Raw genomic sequence first — 25,471 nt, forward strand, 5'->3', positions numbered from 1 at the left:
CTCATTTAATTCTCAAACAGCATGCTAAATAAAGCAGGTATGTTCACCTTTCTGGTAACCATATTTCTCTGAGACTTTTCTAACTGGCCCAAGGTGGCACAACCTAGAAAATGACGGAAAAGTCATATACACCACTTTGGTGACTTTCTTTAATCTTCGTCGTCAAAAGCATCTTGTCAGCACTCATTTTTGTTTTGCTACAGAGAGATTAAAAATTAAGATTGAATGAAAATGTATTGTTTTCTCACTATTTACTAGGTATGTGCTAGAAAACTGTCGCACATTTAACCCTTGCCACAACTCTTTGGACTGGGTATTATTATCTCACTCTACAGATGAGGAAACTAAGATCTGGATGTCAGATGTCTCATCCAAGTTCACCAACTAGTAAATGCCAGGGCTGTTATTTAGAAATAAATGTTTCTGACTCCCAACAATTGTGCTTTTCATACTAAACTACAGCTGTCTTCCCATCTTTTTAAGTGTTCCTGAATACTTCCAGAATAAACATTTCAAGATTCTTTGATGGATATTGTAGAGGACAGAGCTAGACATATGCTGATACTAACAATGGAAGAAATTATTTCTAAAAAAAGTAAAACCAGTATGAGAGGGGAATAAACTTGCAACAATATATAAAGCTTACTTCATCTCAATTTTGGGTAAAAATTTGAAGAAAATAGTGACTTAACAGCAATGGTGCAAGTGAATAAAAGTAAGTTAGTTCAAGAAAATGAAAGTGACTATATAGGTCTTATCAGAATCTGAAAACCTCAAAGCAGACTGTCTCAGAGAGGAATAAAAATGAGAGGAGAGCTAAGGGGAGCAAGTTGAGGTCAGCATTTAGTATTTTCTTCTGAGTACTAAGGACAAAGTTTATATAAACATTTTTGAAATTCCAGAAAAAAAAATCTCTTTCTCACTTGCCAGATAGAAAGTTCAACCTCAGTGATGATGGAGGCAATGGCTTCTGTAAAAAAAAAAAAAAAATATTGGGAAACAAGGTCTTTTTGTCTGCCACATATAGCAGTCTTGGCTTTCTCTTTATTGGCATAATCAAAATTCATTAAATAATGCATTTTAGTTTCCTTTGATGATTTAATATTCTTTTAGCTCACACCTGTGTATATTAATAATCACTTGCAATACTTGCCTGTGGGTATTTGACAGATCTTGGCTGCAAGGAAGAAATACTTGTTGCTTTTGTGATCCAGGAGTTGTAGGGACTCCAAAAGCAATTCCAAGTAACTCCTCTATTTATGACATTTGGAGAACTTTTGCCATGGCAAGAGATACAAAGACAGAAAACTTGGAGCCAATTGGACCAGGAGAAAACATTTTTATTGATGAGCAAAGTGATGGATAGTATTGGTAGCATGAAGTAAGTAGGAAGCCTCAAAACAGCATCATCCCAAAGTGGGGTCTTGCATTTTTTGTAGCATATTGGTATCTTTGTAAATCTCTATATATGAAGTTTCATGTCTTCATGAACCTGGTAGGAAAGTCACTCTAGTAGTGGAGACTGGAGTCCTTGCAAAGGATTTCCTATTTACGCAGAGGAGAAAACGAAGGTGAGACAGCTCTGATGTAGCCTGCAGGACTAGCAGAATGGAGACTCATTAACAGTGGGCAAGAAGGGACAGAGGTTTTGGGGGAACAATGATGGCTTGGGTTTAGATATATTCAGGCAGCTTTCCCTATCCGATTCTAGTTCTGGATGTGGATTATAGATCATTATGTTGTTTAAACAACATCTGGAAGAGCTGGAGGCTGAGATCCCTATTGTAGTGGCTGGGCACCACACCATGGTACATTAAGTTTGTAGAGTCAAGTTATAGTGAAATATTGAAAAAAAATAGTGTGTTGCTTATTTCTCAGCTTTATCTAAACTCCTGGTAATTTTGTAGCTTTTTAAAAGAGTTTTTCATCTATGTCTCATGGCTTTTGCTTGCCGCTGCTTCTCAGGGTATAGACATCCAAAGTCACTTTAAAAAATATCCCTTAAGCTTGGGTATGTTCCCGTTACTCTCCCTTCATAGGAGAGTCATCCCTTACTCTCCTTTCTTTCCCTTCCAGATTTTCAGAAATGTTGATCTCTCATTTGCTGCTCAACCGACTGCAGTGCCCCTGCCCAAGATCTTCAGGGCTCTCCCATGACATTTGACAGAGTCCATAGTCTCTCCTTAAAATGTCCTCTCTTCTTTCTAGGACATGGCTGCCGCTTTATCCACCCTCTGCTCTGGCTGTCTGCACTCAGGCTTTTGCTGGTTCCCCGCTTCTGCCTCTTTATAAATGCAGATTTTCCCTGAGCTGGGTCCTCAGCCCACCTCCCATTTTGTCCTCCCATGGCTTCTAATCCCACCTGTGTGCTAATGACTTGCAGCCAAATCCTCATCTCTGCCAAAAACTCAATTCTGCGCCTCAGGCCCTTTAGGCATCAAGATGGGCTTGTCCTAAAGACACCTCCCTTCAACTTCCCATCTTCTCCTTAACACCTCCCTGCCTTACTCAATGTCCTATCACAGGAAAGGAAGAAACCATTATACTGTGTTATAACTCAGAACTCATACTGCGCTCTGGCTTTTCCCTTATGAGGTAATCACAAAGCTCTCTCAGTCCTATCTCCTAAATACCTTTAGAATTGAACCCCTCTCTACGGTCTTACTTAGTTACTAGGGTCAACTCATCGTCATTTATTGGCTAGACTATGCAATAGCCACGTTTTCAGCTTTCCCCCAAACACAGTTCCACCCTCTGCACCGTGCCTCAGGTGATATAGCACACACACGTGCTCATGTCCCTCTGTGCTCTAACTTTTCAGATGGATGCCGAATGCCGTGTGTGAACTGAGAACTCCTTTGCAGTGCTGATGGGGCCATTTGTGACTGGGCCCAACATGTCTTCTTCATGCATGAATGAAACTCCCATGCCTTGCTCAGCAGTTTGTGCCATTGTGTGTGTTCTTCTCTCTACCCAAATGCTCCCCTCATCCCCACCAATCCGTAGCTTGTTTGCCTGGAAAACTAACACTCATATCTAGCCCAGATGCTCTCTTTTCTCTTACATCTTTGAATTTCACTAGAGTTAGATGCTCCTTTTCCTGCAGTCCTCCAAGTAAACCGTTGCTCTTTTTTTTGAGATGGAGTCTTGCTCTGTCGCCCAGGCTGGAGTGCAGTGGCGAGATCTCGGCTCACTGCATCCTCCGCCTCCCAGGTTCAAGCGATTCTCCTGCCTCAGCCTCCCAAGTAGCCGGGACTACAGGCACGCACCATCATGCCCGGCTAATTTTTGTATTTTTGTAGAGATAGGGTTTCACCATGTTGGCCAGGATGGTCTCGACCCCTTGACCTCATGATCCGCCTGCCTCGGCCTCCCAAAGTGCTGAGGTTCCAGGCGTGAGCCACTGTGCCCAGGCAACCTGTTACTTTTTTACAGTTTGTATTTCTCTCTCCCCAGTCTCTAAATTCCTTGAGGGTACTGGTTCCCTGTCATTTCCTGAACCTGAGAAGTTTCTCTCATCTCAGGGCCTTTATATCTTCTCTTCCCTTCACCTGGACATCATGTCCCTCCTTCCCTTTATTCCTGTCTCCACTCAAATATTATAACCTTGGAGAGGCTTTCCTTGATCTTCCATGGAATACAGAAATCTCTGTCCCTACTTTTCCCTTCCCCTTTTAAAAATGTTCTTTCATACTGCTGCTTATGTGGAGATGTGCATGTGTTGTTGCTATTATTGTTGTCGTCTGGCTCCCCACTGGAATGCCAGCTCCATGCAGGCCCATTTGTCTGTCTCCTTTGTTCACTCTTTGGTGGTCCATGGCCTGGCACTTAGTAGGCCCTCAATGAATCTTTAGATGAATAAGTGAATTATATCCTTTTCAACTAACAGTGCCTGGCACTGGGTAAGCACTCAGTAAAGTTTTATTAAAATAGGGAATACAGAGTATACATTGAACTGTGGTTAAATAAGTTCCCATTGCCTGAACTTGCCACACTGAAGAGACCAGTGGCTTCCTGGAAGAGAGAAGCAAGACAGCTGGAAAACAAATAAAAATGACTGGCTAGTGGCGAAGTCCGTTCTCATCAGAATTCTGGTTCAGTTATTCAGTTCAAATTTTTGGCAAGTGATGCAGATTCTTTTTCAGAAAATGTTGATTGATTGCACAGTTGTACCCACTTCATTTGCAAACCTTCATTATCTCTTTTTCCTTTCCTCCCTCTGTCTGCATTTAGAAGGGGAGGAGCAGTGTATAATTCCACAAGGCAGTTTTGTGAATAAACCAACTAACTGGCTGCTGCTTTCAGTCCCACAGTCTCCTCACAGAATACAAGTATCTGACTTAGTTGTGCATTCTCTCTTGACTGGATCTCCTTGCATTCATTCATTTGAGTATTCATTTGGTTACTTACTCATTCACTCAGTGAATCAGTTGTTCAGTCCCACTGATGACACAGGGCATCTGTGGGGGGTGCTTGGCTCTTGTCTAAAGCAAGAGTTCTTGACTTGGGGTCTATGGCTGTGTTTCAGAAGCTCTCTGGAATTTTTGTAATTGCATATGCAAAATTTTGTGTTTGAATATTGTCTTATGAAGAGGGTTTGCTTAAACAGCCCTGTTATTCAAAGAAAGAAACATATTAAGAACCTCTAATAGAGAAAGGCTTGAACTCAGCCTTGAGTCTAAATAATAGGTCTTCAAGTTAAGTGTTTTTTCCTCAATTCATTGTATGGTGGTGAAAAGTATAAAAATATTGCTTACATATGTTCTCGATTCTAGGTCAGACAGTCTTGTAAGCCTGTTTACTAATCTGCATTCTCCAAATTGTGCTCCTCTTTCTTGTTTATTTTCTAACTTTCCCTAAATCATAGCCTCTGTAGGTATCCAAAAGTCAGGCAGCAATGGTGATGCAGACCTTGATCAGCTAACATAAGTAAGACCTAGCTCCTGCATAGTTACCGTTGAAAATTGTGTGGGCTTTTGTTTATGTGAAATTAGAGGGAAGATGGTGGGGTTGTAAGAGCTGATTTCAGTTTGCAGTGGTGGTGGCTATGTACATTTATCTCATCAAGTTATGTCTGAGGCATTCAGCATCTTAAAACCAATGCCAATTACTGCTGGAATAGGGCATGAGTGAATCCTTCAAAAGAAAATTCAGTGGGCAGTTGCTGACACTCAGTGAATTGCTGGCTCTTTGCCCAAGTGTGTGTGAAATGTTTGCACTGGTGTGAGGCCCTGATTGCAGTTGGCTCGCAGGGTTTGTGGTGACACTATAGATTTGATAGCACACTGTAGGAAAGGCAGAAGCTGGTGACAACTTACAGGGGAAAAAATTCCTAATATTCCTGTTAAAATTGGAATAAAGATAGTTATTGAGAAAAGTCATCTTTGGACCGGCCTCTGCTTTTCACAACAAAGAGGAGAGAGCTGACATGTGCTTAGCGCCCCCGCGGGCTGGGCCCTGTGCTCTAGAGTGTTCGCTCATTCACAAGTATTTATTGTGTGCCTTCTGCATTCTGGTCCCAATTCTAAATGCTGGGGTTTCGGCAAAGCACAGAATGACTCCTCTGGCTTGGGAAGGTGACTTGCTAGTGGGAGAGACAACACTATGCAGATAAGCTCCAGGAGAACAATTAAATCAGGGCGGGACATGTCACATGTCCTCACAACTGCTGTGAGAGGCATTAACCCTTTTGACAGAATGAGAAATTGAGGTCCATGGAACCTAATTTGTCTAAGACCACCCAGCTAATTAGAGAAAAATGGAGGATTTAAAACTTGGTCTGCATGACTCCAGAACCCCAATCCTTTAGTCTGTGTAGTTGTCTCCCCATAATGTGACCCCTCCCATTGAGCTCCTTCTCCCAGCAGAGAGGACAAGCACATCCTGGAAATGGAGCACATATTCTACAGTAAGTGACTGGAATCACAGCAGTGCACTTCAGAACACGGAGGTGATACAACAGTCTGGTTAGTGACTCGGTTGCCCAGCACGGTGCCAAGCCAGATGCTGCGATGCAGGTGTGCACGTCAGGGTTTTCATCTAAGCAGTGGTGTTGAGGTGGAGGGGGAGAGAGAATTGTAAAGTTGGGGTTTTCAGACAGTGCCAAATGGACATTGGTCTACCAGTTGTAACTATGTGACTGTTATGCAGTATTGAGCCCCAAGAAGGCACTGTAGGTGGGGTCCCAGTCCTTCAGGTTTCTAAGAATATGACAGTCCATCGTTGTCGCGGGCAGGATGATGCGCCTGGAACATGCATCTGTAGCTACGTTAACATGCTTTTGCCCTTGCCTTCATGTCTGATCAGTAGATCCCAGGGTCCTGGCCATGATAGTGCACTGTTCACGTAACTTCACTCCATACTCCGGTTCTGGTTCTGGCAGTACCTTATTCTAAGGCCTTCCCTGACTCCACCTCTCCCCACCTCCATCCTGAGTTGAGAGTTGTACTTTTATTGCATATTGTTCATTTGCTTATATGTCAGTATCCCAGTAGACTCTGATGATCTGGAGGGTTAGGAGATGCCTTTTCAATTTTATATTCCCTGACACAGTGTCCAGCACAGATAGGGGCTCAACAAATATTTCCTGTGGATACTTTTAGCTTTCTTCTGCCAACGTATCTATAAGTGGAAATAGGAGCCTGGCTTATATCCCTAGCACCTTGGTCAACAGGGTTGATACCCTTCCATATTATAAGGCTTCACTACATTTTGGATGAATAAATGTAATTCCATAGCTTGAGATTGTTGAGCTTTGGAAATTTATCAGAGTGACCTTTCAATAGCAGGTGCTGTTATAAGCAGAGTCTTGTGTCCCTTGGGCCAATACCCCACTGCTTCACACAACTCTTTATGTTGACTCTTCTTCTGGCAGGAAGCAAGTTACTGAGCATAATACCAAGAAGTGATGTGGCCCAAAAGCTAAGGAGAGAGAGACAGTGAGAGAGAGAGAGGATGACTGAATATATGAATGGAGGAACAGGAGAGAGAAGAGGGAAAAGGCAAGAGACTTTGTATTCTTTCTCCCACAGAAACATAAGCTGTTTCCTGCAGAACCAACGTTAGTTCCCTGTCGTATCAGTGGCCTAGGAAGGCCTAGAGGGTGAATGGAGCATTAGACTGGAAGTAATAAGGTTGTGCCTGACTTACCTCAGTATTTGTAGCAGATGTTACAAATGTCATAACACGAAGCTTTGGGATCAGACTGAAAACTAAAAAATCAAGATACCAGATGTGGACGTCTTCCTTTTACCAGCAACTGCAACTGACACTGCACTATTTCAGTGGTAATCTCCACCCCCTTCCTACTGGGTGGAATCATGCCATAACTGTTTGCTTGCTGCTGAGGTCAGAGGAGGTGACAACAGTAAAGCGGCACTCATTGGAAAGGCTTTTAAGACAGTTTGCAAAATGAAAGTGTAATCATCCTTTCCCCTCTTGAGAGAGTGTACCAAATCTAACCCTTATTAAAAATTTAACTGCTCAAAAAAAATTTTAGTGTATTTGTAGGGAAGATAATTTCTACCAATGAAAAGTCAAGTATTAAACTTTGCAAAGTTAGTGCTGTATTCACATCCCAAATTTGGTATGTTCTCTTTGTCCCTCCCTTTGAGAGCCGTTATCAGAGAGCTCACGGTGTCTTTCTGTGTACTGTGGGCTTAATTCGTGAGCGACACATGATATCCCTGCCTGACATACATGCAGTAGGTGTTTTGTAGAGGAAAGTGTTCACTGAAAGAAGAAGAATTTAAACAACAACAGAAGCAGTTCAAAACTAGAACCTGGAGATAGTACTCAGAAAGCAGAGCACCTTCTTACGTCAAGAATGTGTTCAGGCTTGGAGCCTGGACAGGGATCTGTGCTACCCACTCTGAGTGGCCCACTGGCCTCCGCTGACACACAGGCCTGCCTCGCCCAGTGGACTGGATCCTCGTCAGCTTCGCATCCCGAGTTCCCAGCAGAGTGCCTGCCTCAGCCTGAGACTCAGTACATATTTGCCACCATAGCCCTGATGCCAGAAGAAATTAGTTTCTCTCTTCTTGATCTGTTCATGTTAGATTAAAAATCAAGACTTTCTAGCCCTCAAAGATCCTCCTATTCTATATTCTTTATTCTGAAGTCGCTTTATAACTGTCTCACTCCCCAGACTTCCCCAAATTGGGTGGTGGGGGCGGGAGGGGGCTGGTGGGTTCACCCCAGCACACTCCATATCTCTGCTGGGAATTTAAAGATAGGAATTAATTTTGGGTATGATCTAATTTTTTACCTTTTATTTATTTTGTAAAGAAAAAGAGGAAATTCTCATTTCTTTCACTGTATAAAGGGAATTAAATAGTTAACTTTAAGCTTTACATCCAAAAGCAATCCCTGTGACATCAAGTGGTTGAACCCAATAAATACTTAGGAAAGCCTTGGATGTTTTTTCAGTTGTTAAGGACTAAAGTCCCACCCCCCAAAAAAGTACTCTCTTACAATCATTGTTCTTCTGGAATAATTAAGCAAGTAAAATTGGAATGACTGTGTACTAACTACCATTTTTTAAAATTAGTAACAGCACTTTTGGAGTCTCAGGTATGTCAGGGATGTCCTCTTCTTTTAGGCCAGTCCACTCCTCAGGACCCCTTGCATCTCTTGAGGATTTCCCTCATGTACCCTACTCTCCACGCCTCGGCCCAGGCTGTGGATCACGCCTGCATTTTCCTGAGGTTCTGTCCTCCGAGACGTTGACTGTCAGACGTTGACCTCATTCCCTCAAGTGCTGTCACTCCAAACAGCAGCTTAACCCACTGCCTTAAGGGTTTCATTGTCAAGGGGAAGTGTGGGTTCTCTCACGAAGAATGTTAATCACCCCATATGTAGCCCGTGTGAGGGACATACAGTATTCTTATAGTAACTACCAGATTGTTGGAGAAAGGCCATTTCCTCCTTTCCCAGCTACAGAAGGAGAAATATCTGCCTAGGGATTCTCATTTCCCTCAATGGAAAAGAAAGGTGGGTAGGCGAAGTGAATCTTTAAAATGGAAACTTCGTACTAAGAGGTCCCTGTAATTTGTTGCTGACCAAATATACAAAAACATTTTCGAGACTTACTACAGTGATATTTGGTTGCCGTTTCACATTTAGAGGACTATGCCATTTTGGTGTAGAAAATGATAAACATTTTCAAAAATCATATGAATACTATTTAATTCTCAAGAAGCCGAGAAGTGCATAGTGAACACCCCCTTGACTAAACAGATCAATTAGACATTGTATGTTTTCCCCTTAGTTCTTTAATAGTTGAAGCAATATAAATACACTTCTTTAAGAAAAGCAGACATGGTTTCTTTTTCCCAAAAGCAGTTCATTTATAAGTATTAAAATTTGCACAGTCGCCTCATCCCTAATTATTTTACCCAATGCAGTCAACCCATACTTAAATGGTGGAAGATATTTAAATATGTATTGCATCAAAAAATTTTGGATCATCGTTAAGACTTCTTAAAATTTCAATTGCATTATTGGATTAAATATTCTTTTTTGTCTAAATTGGTGATATAACATGTTAGTAGGTCTGAGATATGAATTATGAAGATAGTTTTTTTGTTTTTAAAAATCCCCTAAATAGGAATTTAAAAATAAACCCAAAGTGTACTACTCCTGAATACATGAGATTTTTTTTCTGGTATTTATTTGTTATCAGATATGTGATTAATCACGTGCCCAATTAACAATGCGTGTCCCTATTTCTCTTCTACAGTCATCATTTATCCTATATTTTAATACTAGAAACTAACCTTGATGAAAGTACACTGAAAAAGCACTGTGATTATTTGTTTTCATATATATATTTCATGTATGTGTTTTCATATATATGAAAACAATAACAGTGCGTCATGTATGTATATATACATATTGCACGAAAACTTCACATACAGTGCTTTCAACAACAGAATTTCAGTTGTCATGTTGCTATATGGGTTAAGCTGGTACCCAGTGCTATTTCAGTTTCTTCTCCAAACCTGAAAATCTCCCAGTGTCTAAGCCATGCACAGATACTGAGGCGTTTTGTATTGAAAGAATACAATTTGTGAAAACGGACCCCACAGAAGGCAGAGTGATGAGGGCCAGTTTCAGAATAAAGACACAGCCTATATTACATGCAAACTGAGAAATTTTAATTTTGATAGGGAAACAGATACACACACTCATACATACCTCATGAACTTCTGGGGCTCCTGAGAAAACCCTCCCTGACTTCTTTGGCCCTACAGTGAGGAAAGCTAATTGAGATTCTTCAAGGGAATCCCTTTCCTTTTCTTCTATGCCATGGAAAGACTCATTAAGCATTCCATATTCCATTCTTTCTCAGCCGCTGGCTTTGCTTAGCCAAAGCCCAGGAAGTCAATGTCCAGGGATTCCATTAAGCATGCCCTTTAGTGCTCCCTTCCCCCAGGCTCAGTGTGGGAACAGATCCTTGCCCCCTTAGATGGAGGATTCAGAGGGGAGCTATCAGGGGTTACCGGGCATGAAGCCTGCCTTTTTGCCAGGCGTTCCTGAGATACTACCTGCCGAACTTTAAGACTACATTTGCCCGTGATGCCGTACTGCCCTCCACCTTATGGGGGAGGATAAGGAAGTACCTCTGAAATGATGTTTCCTATCCACCAGTGACTGCCTTGGCCTAATAAAACAATCCATTAGAAACCCTGCCTCACAGTGTCACAGTCCTCTTCACTTCAGAATACCTTCTTCAAGTGATCCCTCCAATAGCAAGCCCCTCTGTGGCTCTCTGCCTGTGGTCCACCTTCCCACTGTGAACCATGCTGGCAAGGAGCTGGGGTTATGAAGGGAAAGAGCAGGGCACAAGGCAAGTAGGGCTCGTGACTTTTCCCCTTTCATTATGTGTGTCCACCGAGCTGTCCTGCTTCTGTTTTGTAATGGGTTCTTCCATGGCAAGCTGACCTTTCGGCTGAATAGGTCAAACTCCCACTGAGCGTTAATCCTCAGCCCTCCTCACGTGAGTGCCTCCCCTGAGGTGAGGAGCACTGGTTAGGAATATGACTGGGAGGGCCTGGTGTATTCCCCAAAGAAGGGTTGCCTTTTACTGCACTGAATTAATTCTCAGAGACCACCGTGTGAGGTTATGCTGAAGGATCCAGATTAGAACTTTCCTGCTGACATTGTGGAGGGGCAAAACTAATTCTTCAGATACATGTTTTAGACTGTGGTTCCCCTGTGTATCTTCCCCTTTTTAATGAGAGAAAGGCCAAATGCACAGTCTTAGTGATTCATCGGATCATTTTGGATTTCTGAGACAATCAGAATTTTCCTAGATGATTTTTTAAAAAACCAATAAACCCTTCTCCCTGTATTTCTCTTCCATTTAAAGTCTCTTAAAACTCTAGGTGTTTTATTTTTAACCCTTGTAAAACATGAAATAGTAGAGTTGTGGTGTGTGTTGATAATTATATACTGGACCTACTTTTGTTTTAAATGTCATAAAACATTTTTTGGACTATTTATTAAGTTTTGCAACACTAATTCCCTTATAGTAGCTAGAAATTTTCAACATCAAATAGGCATTTAGTCATGTTGAATTGAATTTTAAGTTGAATTCCTGTGGCTTGGGCTTTCTTTTTTATACTAGTTTGTATAAACTGTTCAACTCCTATAGCTCTTACGTCTCACTCTCAGTGAGCTGGTAACAGAATCTTCACAGACAAGTGGTTGCACATTCCATTTATTTAGCAATGCCCTCTGTGTGTGTGTGTGTGTGTGTGTGTGTTGTGTGTGTGTGTATAGGTTAATTTTGTTAGTGTTCTTTAAATTTCAGAAAATAGTCTTTTAGTTGAACAAACAAATAAATGAAATATGTCAGTAGATCAGATGAAACTGTGACCCGTTCGGCAATAGTAAGTATACAGTGTGTCTGGGCTACCAGATGGTTTTAGAAACTGTCAATTTCCAAAATACAGAAATCTGAGAGAGCTTCATAAACAATGTATTGCTTTGCTGAAGATGACAGATCCCATTGAGGAAATGCCCCTTTAGTTGTTTTAGATCATTAATGATACTCTATAAACATAATAAGATTAACACGGAGAAACAAAATACCTGTGTTTGCAGTATTCTTTAGTTATCAGATTATTGTCTCAGTTCTCAAAATGCCAAATGTGATAGGATAAGTGCAAGATAAGAAGTACATTTTTAACATCTATTCAGTTAGCATTAATGCTCAAGTTAAAGCTGGGCTCCTACCAGGGACATAATGGGCTCCTGTTTAACATATTTATGTTGGTTGTAAAATTAGGAACTGTCTTTGCAGCCCACATCACCTGCATAAGTGCAAAACATATAAATCAAGAGAAGTTCCAGTGACATAAAAATGCCATCGAATAGAATAGCATGAAACTACTTGCAAGATACTTGTATATTATGCTAGGGTGTATGGGGGTACACACTCAGATTTCTAGGGGGTTTGGAGAACAAAGAATAACTATACAGATAGAACTCATGGATGAAGACATTTCCTCAGAGCACAGCCTGAACCCTAGTGGAGAAACAGCGGGAAAAGAAAGGCCATCAGTAGCCAGACTTGAATAACCGCCCCACCCCCCACACCCCCACTGAAGACAACAGCGTCTATGCTTTCAGAAGGCATTTGAGCAGCTTTATGTTGTTACTGGAGCTTGCATCTTGGGCCTCCTAAGTCAGTGAACTTTTCTGTGATGTTTTAGGGTTCCTTATAACCTGGTGGCTATTACTCCCTTGCCCCCTCATAATCCAGTTCTTTGTAGAATGATTTCTGTTATCTAAAATTAGTCCTTTTTTCTTTTTTTGGGGGAGGGGGGAGGGGACGTGCAGTGATTTATTTTGAACTTTGTAATTGGAGTCCCTGAAGTGCCCCCCCAAATTATGAGCTATTAATAAGGAGCTTTCTGAATCCTAATTACTGTCTCAAAAACAGAGTGGACACTTGAGAAGTTTTTCAACTCCCCCGCTTCTCCCTCCCAAAAGCCACCCACCCCCATAATCTCAAAAAAAAAAAAAAAAAAAAAGGCTGCAGATTTTATTCATGTGGGATCATTCACACCAAGCTACCATAATGTGCAATTAACACTCTAGAAACTGAAAACAGTATTCAGCAAGACAGCTGCATTATCAAAAATGCCAAAGGAGTTTTGAAGGGAGTAATGTGCATGTTAGAATAGGAAATTAATCAGAAATGTGCACACCCACATACACACAGTAGTACTGTCTTAAGTATATCTGAATATTAAAATTGTAAAAACCCTATGTCTATATTTATAATAAAGATTAATCTCAGCATAGTAAACTGATTTTTCTGTTTTAAGATTTTTAGTTGTGTGTTTTGCTTCTGAAGCAAATGAGGAGGCTGGAGTAGAGATCTCTAAGATCCCTTCCAGCTGGAATATTCTTTTGATAATGATCACTCTTCAATTATATTTTATAAATTTTCCCATTGAAAAAAATGCCTCTGTTATTTTTCTCTTGTCAGTAATAATGATACTTAACACACACGCATTTTCACAGTGCCTTGCAGACATTGCAGATACAAACTCACATTTGCAGGGGTAAACTCCCTACTTTGCATAGCGCAATAATCACAAGTGCATTTATATTATAATCCCTACTAAGCTGTGGAGCCCACTCACCAACTTAGTAACTGAAATGCAACAGAATTACCCCAGCAGCATTTCACTGGAATTTTCTTGTCAACTAGCTGAAAGTGTTTCTAGAAGTAAGAAAGTAGGGGATTTTGATTTTATTTTCAATTAGTAGTAGCTGGGCTTGAGAGAGCAGAGGTTTGTAATAAAATTTTCAAAAAAAGCAGGAAGATATGGGGAATTTACTTGTTAGAAATATAGAAAGCATCTGAATATTTTCTTTAATAAATCAGTGTAAAGCAAATGGATTTTTTATGATGTCCTCACTTTTGATTTCTGTACGTCACTTCCCTCTTTTGTCTATAAATTTGTTCTGACCACGACGCATCCCTGGAGTCTCTCTGAATCTGCTGTGATTCTGGGGGCTTCTTGATCTGTGAATAGTTCATTGCTCAATTATACTCCATTAAATTTTTTTAAAAAAAGAAAAAATAGGCAGAAGAACAGGTTTAACATAAATTGGAACCCCACGTAAAAAAAAAAAATCATAAACAGATGACACTCAATTCTGGATTCCACAGTTATTATTGCATTAAACCCACTTTTGTTAAGGATTATGAGGACTCCTTGTGTGGTAGGCACCTGCAGGCAAAGCAGGTGAAGCGTGCCTGGAAGAGGACCGACTCTTAGTGAGAAAACAGGAGTGTTCGGGAACTCCAGATAAGAAACAGTCACTGACCTGGTGAGGCACATGCTGGCCAAGGATCTACCTGGGCTTCTTGTCAGTCCTATAGGAATAGTTTCACATGAATATGCAGTAAATGTGAAATCCAGCCATCTTAGGATGCTTAACACTAGTGCAAATGATCATGAAAAAGAATGTCTTATCCAATATGTTGTGCTGATTAAATTGTGATGAAGTTATTGCATTAGAAAATACAAAAAGTTTCCTGTTTGCTTTTTTCCTAGCCTAGAAGATGTAAGAAGTTTAGTTTTCTCTGGGGCGGGGTTGAGGGGAGATAAGGCAGTATGCAGATGCTTAAAAAAATCAATACCTTAATTTTAAGAAAAATGGTGTACTAATTTATTTTAAAGGAACCTGAACATTCATATGTTTTTATTCCAGTGTAGGGAAAGCCATCCAAAAGGAAAATTTTTAAAGTCTGAATGTATTTTTTTGATGTTTCTAGAAGTCGATATTTTAGGTTGAAAATTCAACCTAGGCTATGTTTATGCTTAGACAACTCAGAACTAAAATTAATACTGGGTGGTGGTTCAGATCTCATTGTAATACTAAATAGTCAATGATGCCATTCAAGAGAAACTAAGCTGAAGATATGAATCAGAGCTCCAACTTAATTGTTCTGTTTTCTTTCTTTCTTTTTCTTTTAAGTTATAGGTGCACAGCGAAGGAGAAGCCCCAGTGCACTAGCCATTGAAGTATTTGAAGCACATTTGGGAAGCCACATTTTGCAGGTACCTTTAAAACAAAAAGAAGCTTTCTTATATTTTACTAAGAAAAAACCATATGTTTAGTCTTTTTTTTAAAGAATTTTTTTTAAATGTCAGCTGTATATTTGACTGTTGTGATTTTATCTTGAAATTCCGAAATTCTTATGAGTTTATTTTTTTCTTTTTAGAAAGCCATCCTTTGAGAGAATGTTAATGAGAAAGGGAGGGCAAGTATTATTTGTGCTGAAATAATTTAGATGAATTGCACTATTTAGTTCATGCGCCATGTGTAGTAACTGGCTGTTCCCAGAATGGTTGTGTGCGTGCTGTATTTGTAAGTGGATCTGTGTGTGTCTTTGGAGCTATATATTGTTTTTGGAAGAGCAAAGTTTTGTTGTGAAAGTACTGTGATTTTTTTTTTTTTGTGTCGCCAAATTTCAGTTCTTTGCTTGAGTTCGTATTTGTGAGTGCTTCCAATCTTAATGTTTGCCTCCCCAAATTAGAAAATTTCTCACGGGAAAATATAGTATATTTAAAAATACTAGTAAAAGGAGACAAATAATAATTGATTTTGCCAGTGAACTTCATGAAAAATAAATGTTAAAGGTCACTAGGATGAAACTGTAGTTACCTAGCCCGAGAGAAAATTCATTGCAAACTCGTCATCTCACTTATTCAAAACTTTTTTTTACTAAGACTTTGCCATCGATTCAACACTTCTGCCTTCAACCATAGATAATTGTGCCACACTGGTCCTGCTCCCAGGATAAATGTTGCCATGGCCACTTTTTTTAATCTGTGGAAGATACACCTTTTTACATAGAATTGGAGAAGCAGACAAGTTTGGGATATGTAGGCCGCTTACTGTATTTGGAAAAGGTAGCTATGTTTTTCTGAGATAAACTTTGGAGTAAAATAAAAGTATACTCCAGATCCCTGTTCATTCAGAGTTTATAAACAGGGCCTTTATGGTGCTTTCCTTTTCTAGGTTGTCAAAAGTAATACTACATTTAGCATATTATCTTTTAAGTATGTGCATTAGGAAACTATTATGTGATTCTGCGTTAAAAAAAAAAAAAAGAAGAAAAAATAGCTCATAGTCAAATCCTGGTGGTTCTCCAAAGCAGTGTCTTTACTGGCAGTTTCAGAATCACCCAACACTTGCTCATAGGATGCATTCTTGGGCCTCAACCTAGACCTACTAAATCAGAGTTTATAGGGTAAAGTCCAGGAATTTGTGGTTTTTAACAGTCTCCTGAGATAATTTGGATGTTCCATCAGGTCTGAGATAGCACCTTTCACATTTGCAAGTTTAAAGCCCTGAGAAGTCTTACTTTACATTTTTGTTTATTCTTATTTCTTGTTTATCCATTAATATCTGTTAATATCTCATAGAACTGATGTTTCTTGAAATACACCTTGGGAGTTGCTATTCTATTGTATACATAAAATTTTGAATTACCTTTGTTACAACCTAGGATTAGTTTCGAGGACACAGAAAGGATCATATTTCTTTCTAGATCTTCAAATTGTTACTTCCTTTTCTCTTACACACATGTTGTTTGGAATCTTCATTATAGGTTTTGTATGGACCGTGACATATAAATTGTTAGACTCTGATGTGACTGAGGACTATTTCTGTTTCTATTCTGAAGCACTCAGAAATTGTTACCTAAGACTTAGTCAATGAAAAATTATTCAGAGACTAGTCCTAGATTATTATCTTCTTAATTCTTTCTGGAAATCATGACTCCAAAGGCCTATGAGTAAGGTGTCTCAGTAATTGCAGTAATTTAAAACTAACACAAACTTAGGAGTTTGAATCAAACATAAATTCAGTATAAATATATAATGTAAAATGGCTCTCCCAAATGCTAAATCAACATTATACTTCATTGAGAGAACACAGGATCTAGAATGGGGCTGCAAGCTCGTTCCCATTTTGGATGGGTCACATTCAGACACCACACTATGGTTGCATCAGCTGTCACACCGACCTAGACAGCTGGATGCCATTTGGAGTAGAATAACCAGACTGGTGAGTAAACTAGAAATCATATTACGTGAAGAGTGGCAAAAGGCCTGAGAAAGTTTAGTTTGGAAAACATGACTTAAAAGGGGCATCAATGCCCTCTCTATTTATTTGAAGGCCTCATTTCCAAAAAAAAAAAAAAAAAAAAAAAGGATTAAACATATTCTGTGTCGCTTCAGAATATGAGAAAAAAGATAAATGGATGAAAATTTAGAATGTTTACATTATGTCCATACAAGAAAACTCCTAAATAGGGCTGGTCACACTTGGAATAAGTTTGAAGCTGTAGACTTTCAGGAGAAATATAGATGGCTTGGTAAAGATGCTTTCAAGAAAGGCATCTAAGCATGATTGCACTATGTAATCTTATAATTGCCACAGAAACTAGAACTTTTGGTATAATTTGATTTTAGCACTAATGGTTATGGAGTGGAAGAACTACTACATAGTATTCTAAATTAACTACTAGAATTACAGGCAAGAAGGAATTGGGAAGTAGTAGTAACAAGAAGAGCCTCCCTTAAGCTATCTTATTAGTTGTTTTGCCTAACTAGCAGGGAAACTTTTGAGCCCATAAGCCTATGTCTGTACCATGTTCAACAATATCGCAATGTTCAGTAAGGATGAGATGGCTTCTACGTTTTGTTTCAGAAGGGTCCATGGGAGAATCTGGTTGGTCCATAAAGACTGGAATGAATTCTGTCTTCCCTTTCCTCCTTCCTACTCTTTCTTCATTTGCAAATAGTTGATAAAAACCTGTGTGGTCAGCAAAGTAGTATAGGCATGATCTCCAACCTGACAGTTTATAGTCATTTAACACTCCCCTTCATCCCCCACAAGTTTCAAATACTTTATAAGAACACAGAAGCCACTGTATATGACTGCTATCTTTAAATAGCTTACAGTCATTCAGGGAAAGAGGAACTAGGAGGTTGCATGAAGTGAGAAATATCACACAGGTCAAGTACTATGGGGCCACAAAAGAACAAGGCTCTGAATTTGCCATAAAGCACCAAAGAAGACTTTTCAAAGTTGTTGATGGATGAATAGAAGTTTATTAGGCAAAGAAAAGGGAAGAATATTCCAACCAAAGGGTACATCAGACACAAAAGCATGTAAACAAGTAGTGGTAAATCTTACTTGGGGACTGTTTAGATGTTTGATATGATGGCTGCTTCACATATGCAGTGGGACATATAAGAGATGAAGGAAGAGAGATTATAGGAGCCATATTACCAGGAGGTGTGGACTTGATTCTCCATGAAGAGTCCATGGAGAGGGCTTTTATGCAGCAGTGACAAGAGAACAGTTTGGTTTATTTCTGGAGTTATCATCAAAATACAACGTCCAGGAAGTCTGTGAGTTGTAAGATACTGATATAAAGAGACCATTTAGGAAATTGTTACCAGAGTTCAAGAAAATGAAGATCTTTTGCAAGATAGAGGTGTGTGAATGAAGAGGCAGCTATGGAATTGAGATAGAATCATTAGCATGTGGCCCATAATTAGAGGTGAAAGGCTAGAGAATGACAGGATTTAATCATCACCACAAGTTTTCTAGTTTGGCTGCTAGCTGTCTGATTCTACTACCTGAGAGAAGTCGAGAGGGATGGTCTATTAAATAGCCAAGTTGATATGAGGTAGGCACTTGGAAACCTAAGTCCTGTTTCTGCAGAGCAATTCTCAGGCTAGGTCTGGAATTACTGATCACTGGTGTATAGATGAATGATAGTTCAAATTAAGAATGGGTTACAGCCCTATGGAAATGATGTGGAGCAAAGAGAGGGTTAAGGAGAGCCCACTGTGGGGTATGTCATCATTTAAGAGGCCAGTAAACATGAGAAAGGAATGGACAGAAAGAAAAAGCAAGCCACAGGATTTGATTTTGGTGGAGGAAGGAATAGTAATAATGTCAAGGTAGCTAAGGATAAATCCTTTAGTAGGGCAAATCCTGAAGAGATGTCATAGGTTTTGTGGATTGAAACAGTCGCTGTGCGGAGTAAGTGTAGAATACAGACCTAAAGAGTGATAGGAGGTAAAGGAGAAGAATCTGAGTGTTCATGGTAAAGAAAGGGTGGGAAATGAGAAGTTATCATCAAGAGAAATTTGTGTTTTTCATGTAGTGAGAGTATGTTTATATGTCTGAGATTTATGGGATCAAGCATTTTGTGCATATTGGAAAAGAGATGAAAACCTAACTCTTGGCCAATTATATGCTCTTCAGCAATCTCCTTTAAAAATCAGTATCTCATGGTCATGTCTGTGCTGAGAAAGGATTGGTTTTCATTATTATTAATGGCTAAATGCCATTCTATACTATGGATGTATCATAATTTATGTAACCATTTTCCTGCTATTGAGTATTTTGATTACATCTAAAAATGTTCATATCTAATGCATATATCAACGTGTCTATGTGTGTGTGTAAACGCAAAGAGAAGATAAAATATTGAAAAGCATATTTTCTAAAAAGAAAAGCCTAGTCTGGATGGATTTCAGCTTAAATATGATGAATTTTTACTGTGTACTAAGTTTCAGATACTGTGCTAAGTTCTCTTCTTATATCATCATCGAGTACCCACAATATAGACCTATGAGATAGGTGCTATGATTACGTGCATCTTAAAATTGAGTCAACTAAGATTTTAAAAACTTAAGTAACTCAAGTTCACATGTCTGTTTAGGTAACAAAGTTGAATTTGAACCCAGGATGGTAACACTAGGGTCATAGCACTGCAAAAAAATGATAAGGGCAATTTTAAAAGACAATGGTAATAAGAGGAAAGAATTAAAACACTTACAGTTGGAGTAAACAGGCTTCAGTAACTAATTGAATTTGGAAACTAAAGTAGAGGTCAGTTCCAAATACCAGTGTGGAGTTCAGAAAATGCCTGTGACTTCACTGCATCAGGTACCAAAGCTTCCCTGCTACCTGTGCCCCAGTGACGTTTCACTGAAGTGCATACTACGTGTCCCTTTGTGTGGAGGATTTGAGAGTAAGGGGTAAGATAGACTCCTTAATTTTTGGTGTGCCCGTTCTCTGAATGTATATGTAATGTGTCTCTGCTGTGCATATCTAATTAGCCGTATATTCTCGTAGGGAAAAGAAAGTTTGGTGGGATCCCTTAAAATTTGATTACTTTTCCACTGAGAGGGAGAAAATAATAAACTTAATGGTGATTTTATCAATGTAAAATCATGTATTACAAAGCCAATTTTCAATACCCGTGTTTGTAGGCAGGGCCAAGGCCCAGGCTGTGTATTGCGAACTCTGGGGCCGCCATTCACAAAGCAGTCTCACCACTGACTGTGACCAATATTATAGTCTCAGTAAACCTATAACTATTTCAGGCATGAATCGCAGGACAGCAGCATCTTCTCCAGGAGAGTTGAGGGTTCAAGGGATGTCAGTCTTGCAATGGCAGGGCTGTGAATCCCAGCCCTAGTGGGCCTGAATCAAGGCATTATAGTTCACTAAATTCTTCTCTGATTTTTATAAATTAGATGAAGAATGGGAAGTCAAGGGGTAAAGGTTGGGATTTGTGCATTTTGTGGCAGGCTCAGTAAAAATCCGAGAACTTGAGGAGATCATTATGTGGGATCCTTCCTGGAAAGTAGATGTGATTAAGCACAAATGTGGTTGCTGCTTTCAACGTTCTCTTAGGGCATTATATTGTTCCCACTTCATGACTTCTTTAATATGAAAAAGTACGCATGTTATTTATTGTTACTTTTCCAATATAAGGACCAGATAGGATATTTGTATTTTACCTTATTGAAGTTAACAAAACACAAAATGGTAGCAAATACTGTCTTCATAAGTCATAAAATTAACTACTGGAATGACTTTCCCTTAGGTGCCAGATTTCTGAATGGAATGTTTTAATGCTTTAATTATTTGTTTACCCTCAGCAGAAAGGTTTAAGTTTCTTTCATTTTCTAAATAATGCTTACATAATTGTTATATAAAGTTGCAATATTGTTTTTGCAAACTCCATAGTAATAATGCTGCTTTACTCACCTCACAGGTGTTAAACAAGTTAAACCTAGTACATGGAAATTGTTAAGGTTTATGTTTGTATTCATTGTCAGCATATTATATTGAACTATATGTGTGTGTGTGTGTGTGTGTGTGTGTGTGTGTGTTACTAACTTTGTAAAATACATGCCATTACTAAGAACTATCATGTACTTATAATTGAAAGATAGTCTTTATTCATCACTCATTTTGGATCATAAAAGTAAGTTTTGTGAGTTGGATAAGTATAATAAGTACCAACATGTTTGTACATAACTAATAGAGAAATTCATTTATTATTTAAACTAAGTATTGAGAGAATAAAAAGAATGTTCTGTAAGAAATGCTGTAAATTAAAGTAATGGTGGAAATATTGTATCCATGTGTCAATTTTTGCTTGGCCATATTAGGTAAACCCTCTTGTATCTATGTCATTGACCCCACATTATTTCTGGCCACAAATGAATTTTTATATTGCTTTTAGAACATTCAAACCCAAACCTGAAAGAGAATTCCATGAGCATACTCTCTGAGGGGACTGAGTAAGAGCCTCCAAGAACATTCTAAGATTATGACCCCTGAGGTTCTCTGACTGGGAGTGGATCAGAAAAGGCTAGGTACGATGGTTGTATGATTGCCTGGTCTTCCTCAACATAAGTGGGGGAATGATTGTTTTTGCAAGGATCATTTATTAGTAAAATAACCCTCTTGTTCAGGACACAAATGTGTCCTGTGCTAATAACCTTAGCAGAACAGTTTTGTTAAGGTATGTATTTTCTAAAAATGATAGAGAAGAAGGGAGCCCAAATGTAGTGATTTTCTGTTTGTTAGTCAAAGTAATCAAAGATTTGTGTGGCTAAGATGGATAATGTTGTCAACCTCAGTGAGCTGTCAGATTTTGTTCATGTGGTTTTTCATTTCCTCAACACCTTTAACCATGGAATACAGGGTAGAATTATGCCTCAAATAAAAGAAGAACCTGTGTTTTACAGAGGCTGTTAAGGATCAGATTTAGAAGAAAGTCAGGTCAAGATTTGCTTTTAAATTTCTACGTTTCTTCTGTTAATCACACTTTGAAGATTGGTAAAGGGCATATCCTAGAATCATGATTAGTTGGTCCATATAGTCTTTTGGTCCTGCAGAGTTGTTTTTAGACAAATGAGAACATATAGGTTCTCTATCTACCAGAAGTTTTTTTTAAAAAAAAATCAGGTTGATGTAATAAAGAAAACAAAACAAATAGTATCTTATTTATGTATTTGTTACTGTTTCAGTATTGCTAGCTACAGCATCTCTGGTCTCTGAGACCCAGCCAATTGTAGAAGACCGAGTAGAAGATTCTGCTGGGGAAAATATGCTGGATTTATAGGCAAAAGGAGCTCTTTATAACAATGTTGGGGTGTGTCGGGGCGGGGGGGGGAGTAGAGAATGCCAAATCTGCTGATAGACACCTTCTTTAATCTCATATGCCAGAAGAAAATGAAAGATTGACTAGTACAATTCCAACATCTGGGCAAAGTAAAGTGAAAATACCTAAAACAGCTCAAAAGCTAACACAAAGATACAAATTATCATTTATTAAGATGCTGCCTAGCCAAGTCAACATGCCTTTTACATTTGATGGTAGTGTTTTCAAAAGACCTCTGTGAAACAGTGATATCTTCAAGTCTATTTTCTACTTTATTGTTGAGTTAAAATTTCACCTTTATTTTATTGAAATGTGTAGATATACATAAAATGATCATCTCTAGGAAGTTGCATCTTCTTATTCCTGATGGCTCTTTTTGCTAAAGTGGTATCCTGCTGGACATCAGTGCTAACGTAAAATAAGGTGATTTCAAATAATAGGAGCATTTTGAATTAATTCCTTTAGCTGTGAGAGAGGAAGGGGAGAAAGTTGAGTGACCCTGTAGTGTCTCTATGATCCAGAATGGTAAGAAAATGTAAAACTAAATATAGAAAGAGAGAAAGTTAGTGAATATATTTGCATATGCAAATTAGCTTAATTGATACTGCTTGCCTCTACAGGGATTTTTCATTACAAACTGGAGTGCTACATTGTTCAGCTCATATTGAGTAATTTAGTAACTAATGAGACCAGTTTGCACTAATTTGCATATGATAAATGAGCTTAATTGCAGTAAATAACTTGGAGGCATAATTACTTAATTTTCCTGTGTTGCACGGCTTTTAAGTTCACGTATGAACAACTCAAGATAATTTTGCATATTTAAATTAGTTGCTTTTAAATTTTCTTGAACAAAAAAGAGGAACACACCTTATCAATTGAGCTATAAAACAATCAAAAGTAGGGATTGCAGTATTTTTATTTAAAAAGAAAGAATGAAAAAGAAAAGTAGAAATTTTAAGTCTGTTGTTCACCTCTCCTATGTCCTCACCTCAAATAAGATATCAGCATTGGCATTTAGGAAAATGTTTTTAAAGTTGAACATTAACTCACAATTTCTATTAGTAGATTGCCTAGGTTTAAACTAAAATATGTATATGAATGAATCGTAAGTTTGGGAATAGGGTTTATAAAAGAGATGTGACATGTCCATTATGTAATTTAGCAAACTAACATCAGAGTAGTCAATTGGGTCTACTGGCAATGTGCATTTCACCTAAGTTGCTGGGCTTTAATGACGTAAGCATCACTCTGACCCTGGCATTTATTTTCTGTTGAGATTAATGTTTCATACTTACGGAATTGGTTTCACTGGAGAATCTTATTGTGGTTTGCCAAGAATTATCTCACTGGTCTTCAAATTATCTCAAGAATGCATGTTTTACCAAAATCTCCATTCTCAAAACAGACACACAGGATCAAACAGAGGTTGATTGTAAACCGTTATTTCCCTATATTGTACTGCCTTTGGATGTTAATCCTAAGGGGAAAAGTATAATTTCTTATTCAAAATTAACTTATTAGGCCATATAAAAATCATATTCATGATTTTGAGGAAATATTATATAGTTGTAAAAAAAAGTTTAACATCTTTTATTTAAACAATTAATGCTGCTTTAACTCATTATATATAAAAACTGATGGGCACATTAGGGCTATTACTTTGTCACAATCTGAAAAAATAGCTCATCAAACTTTTCTCTGAAAAGCTCAAATTCTACTAAATTCAGTATATGCTTTTTTTTCCCAGAGGTGAGCCAGAACAAGTACTAATGCCAGTATATTCAGAGTGTAAAATTTGAGTCCTTCGTTCAATAGGTTGTCAGGAAATACCTGGTAAATAAAAAAATGAACAAAGAAATCTTACCTGGCAAGGTCACAGTTAACCTCAGAGCCAGGGCCTTGTCTCAGCTCCGTGTTAGAAGCTTAGTTTGTATCCACATCTCCAGACATGGGAGAGTATATGACAGATTCATTATGTGCGTGGATTTGGGCATCCAGCCAACATGAGTTTATATCCCCAGTTGTTCATTTATTAACTGTGTGCACCTACAATGGTCTCTTGCCCTCTCTAAGCCTTAGTTTTTTCATCTTTAAAATGGAGAAAATAGTAGTGAAAGTTTTCCTGGCTGGCAGATTGTGAGGACTGAACAAAATAGTTTAGTTGAAAGTGCTTGATACAGAACTTGACATGTAGAACACATTTGAGAAACATCTGCTAGTATTTCTGTTCATGTGTTAGGTAGTCCAGAATAATGTGCGAGTTTTTAAGAAAAATCCTGATGCTTATCAGAAACTTTATTACTTCAGGAATATAAGAACATTATCAATAAAATTCTCTCAGGTTCAAAACAAGATAAATATTCTTTATTGAACATGACATAAATTGCTTACATTGATGTATCCATTTGACAGTTCAGGTTTAGTTCAGAGTAAAAAATTTTATATTTGGTGATAACAATGTATTTTTACCTTGAGAATGAAAATTCTTCTCTTAAAAACCAAAGAAGTTGTCATAATACTCTCATTGGCAACTTAGAAGAAACTGAAAAAGAGAGAGTTTATAAAGGGACTCCAGAATCAAAGTCTCCTTTGGACTAAAGTGTGACATGCCATTACTCTCCTTATCTTATTACGTGACCTCCTCAACTTGCTCAGAAAAAAAATGAGGATAAACACCCAATCAGAAATCCAGAAGAGCTAGAAGGTAGAACCAGCCATCGACCATTGCTATAAATTATGCTGGTGAAACGGTTTAATGCACATATGCTTCTCCTTGTGCACATTGCACGAAATCCATCATCTGCCAGGCCAAAAAGTTCACCCTTCCATGTCAGGGTCAGAAGGGAGAACTTCTCAGAAGGATGTTCATAATGATGTCTCTATATGGCAGATACGTATCCACGGGGATTTTTGTTTACCTTGCTAACTTTGATTTGCAGAATAAACATA

The 25,471-nt window shown here is 38.5% G+C and overlaps 1 protein-coding gene across 19 annotated transcripts in view; it reads left to right on the forward strand.

Moving 5' to 3' along the window:
• The window catches only part of NPAS3 (neuronal PAS domain protein 3), an 869,389-nt gene that overhangs the window by 417,398 nt on the left and 426,520 nt on the right, over positions 1 to 25,471 (forward strand). For 15 of the 19 annotated variants that reach the window (XM_017021582.2, XM_017021583.2, XM_005267991.4 and 12 more), the window contains one exon: positions 15,004 to 15,086. In XM_017021582.2, the coding sequence (XP_016877071.1) occupies positions 15,004 to 15,086 (83 nt within the window). The remainder of the gene's footprint in view (positions 1 to 15,003; positions 15,087 to 25,471) is intronic. The other 4 variants (XM_047431678.1, XM_005267992.4, NM_001394988.1 and 1 more) reach the window with 1 other exon arrangement.

This window comes from Homo sapiens, chromosome 14 (assembly GCF_000001405.40).
Source record: "Homo sapiens chromosome 14, GRCh38.p14 Primary Assembly".
In the NCBI taxonomy this organism is placed as follows: domain Eukaryota; kingdom Metazoa; phylum Chordata; class Mammalia; order Primates; family Hominidae; genus Homo; species Homo sapiens.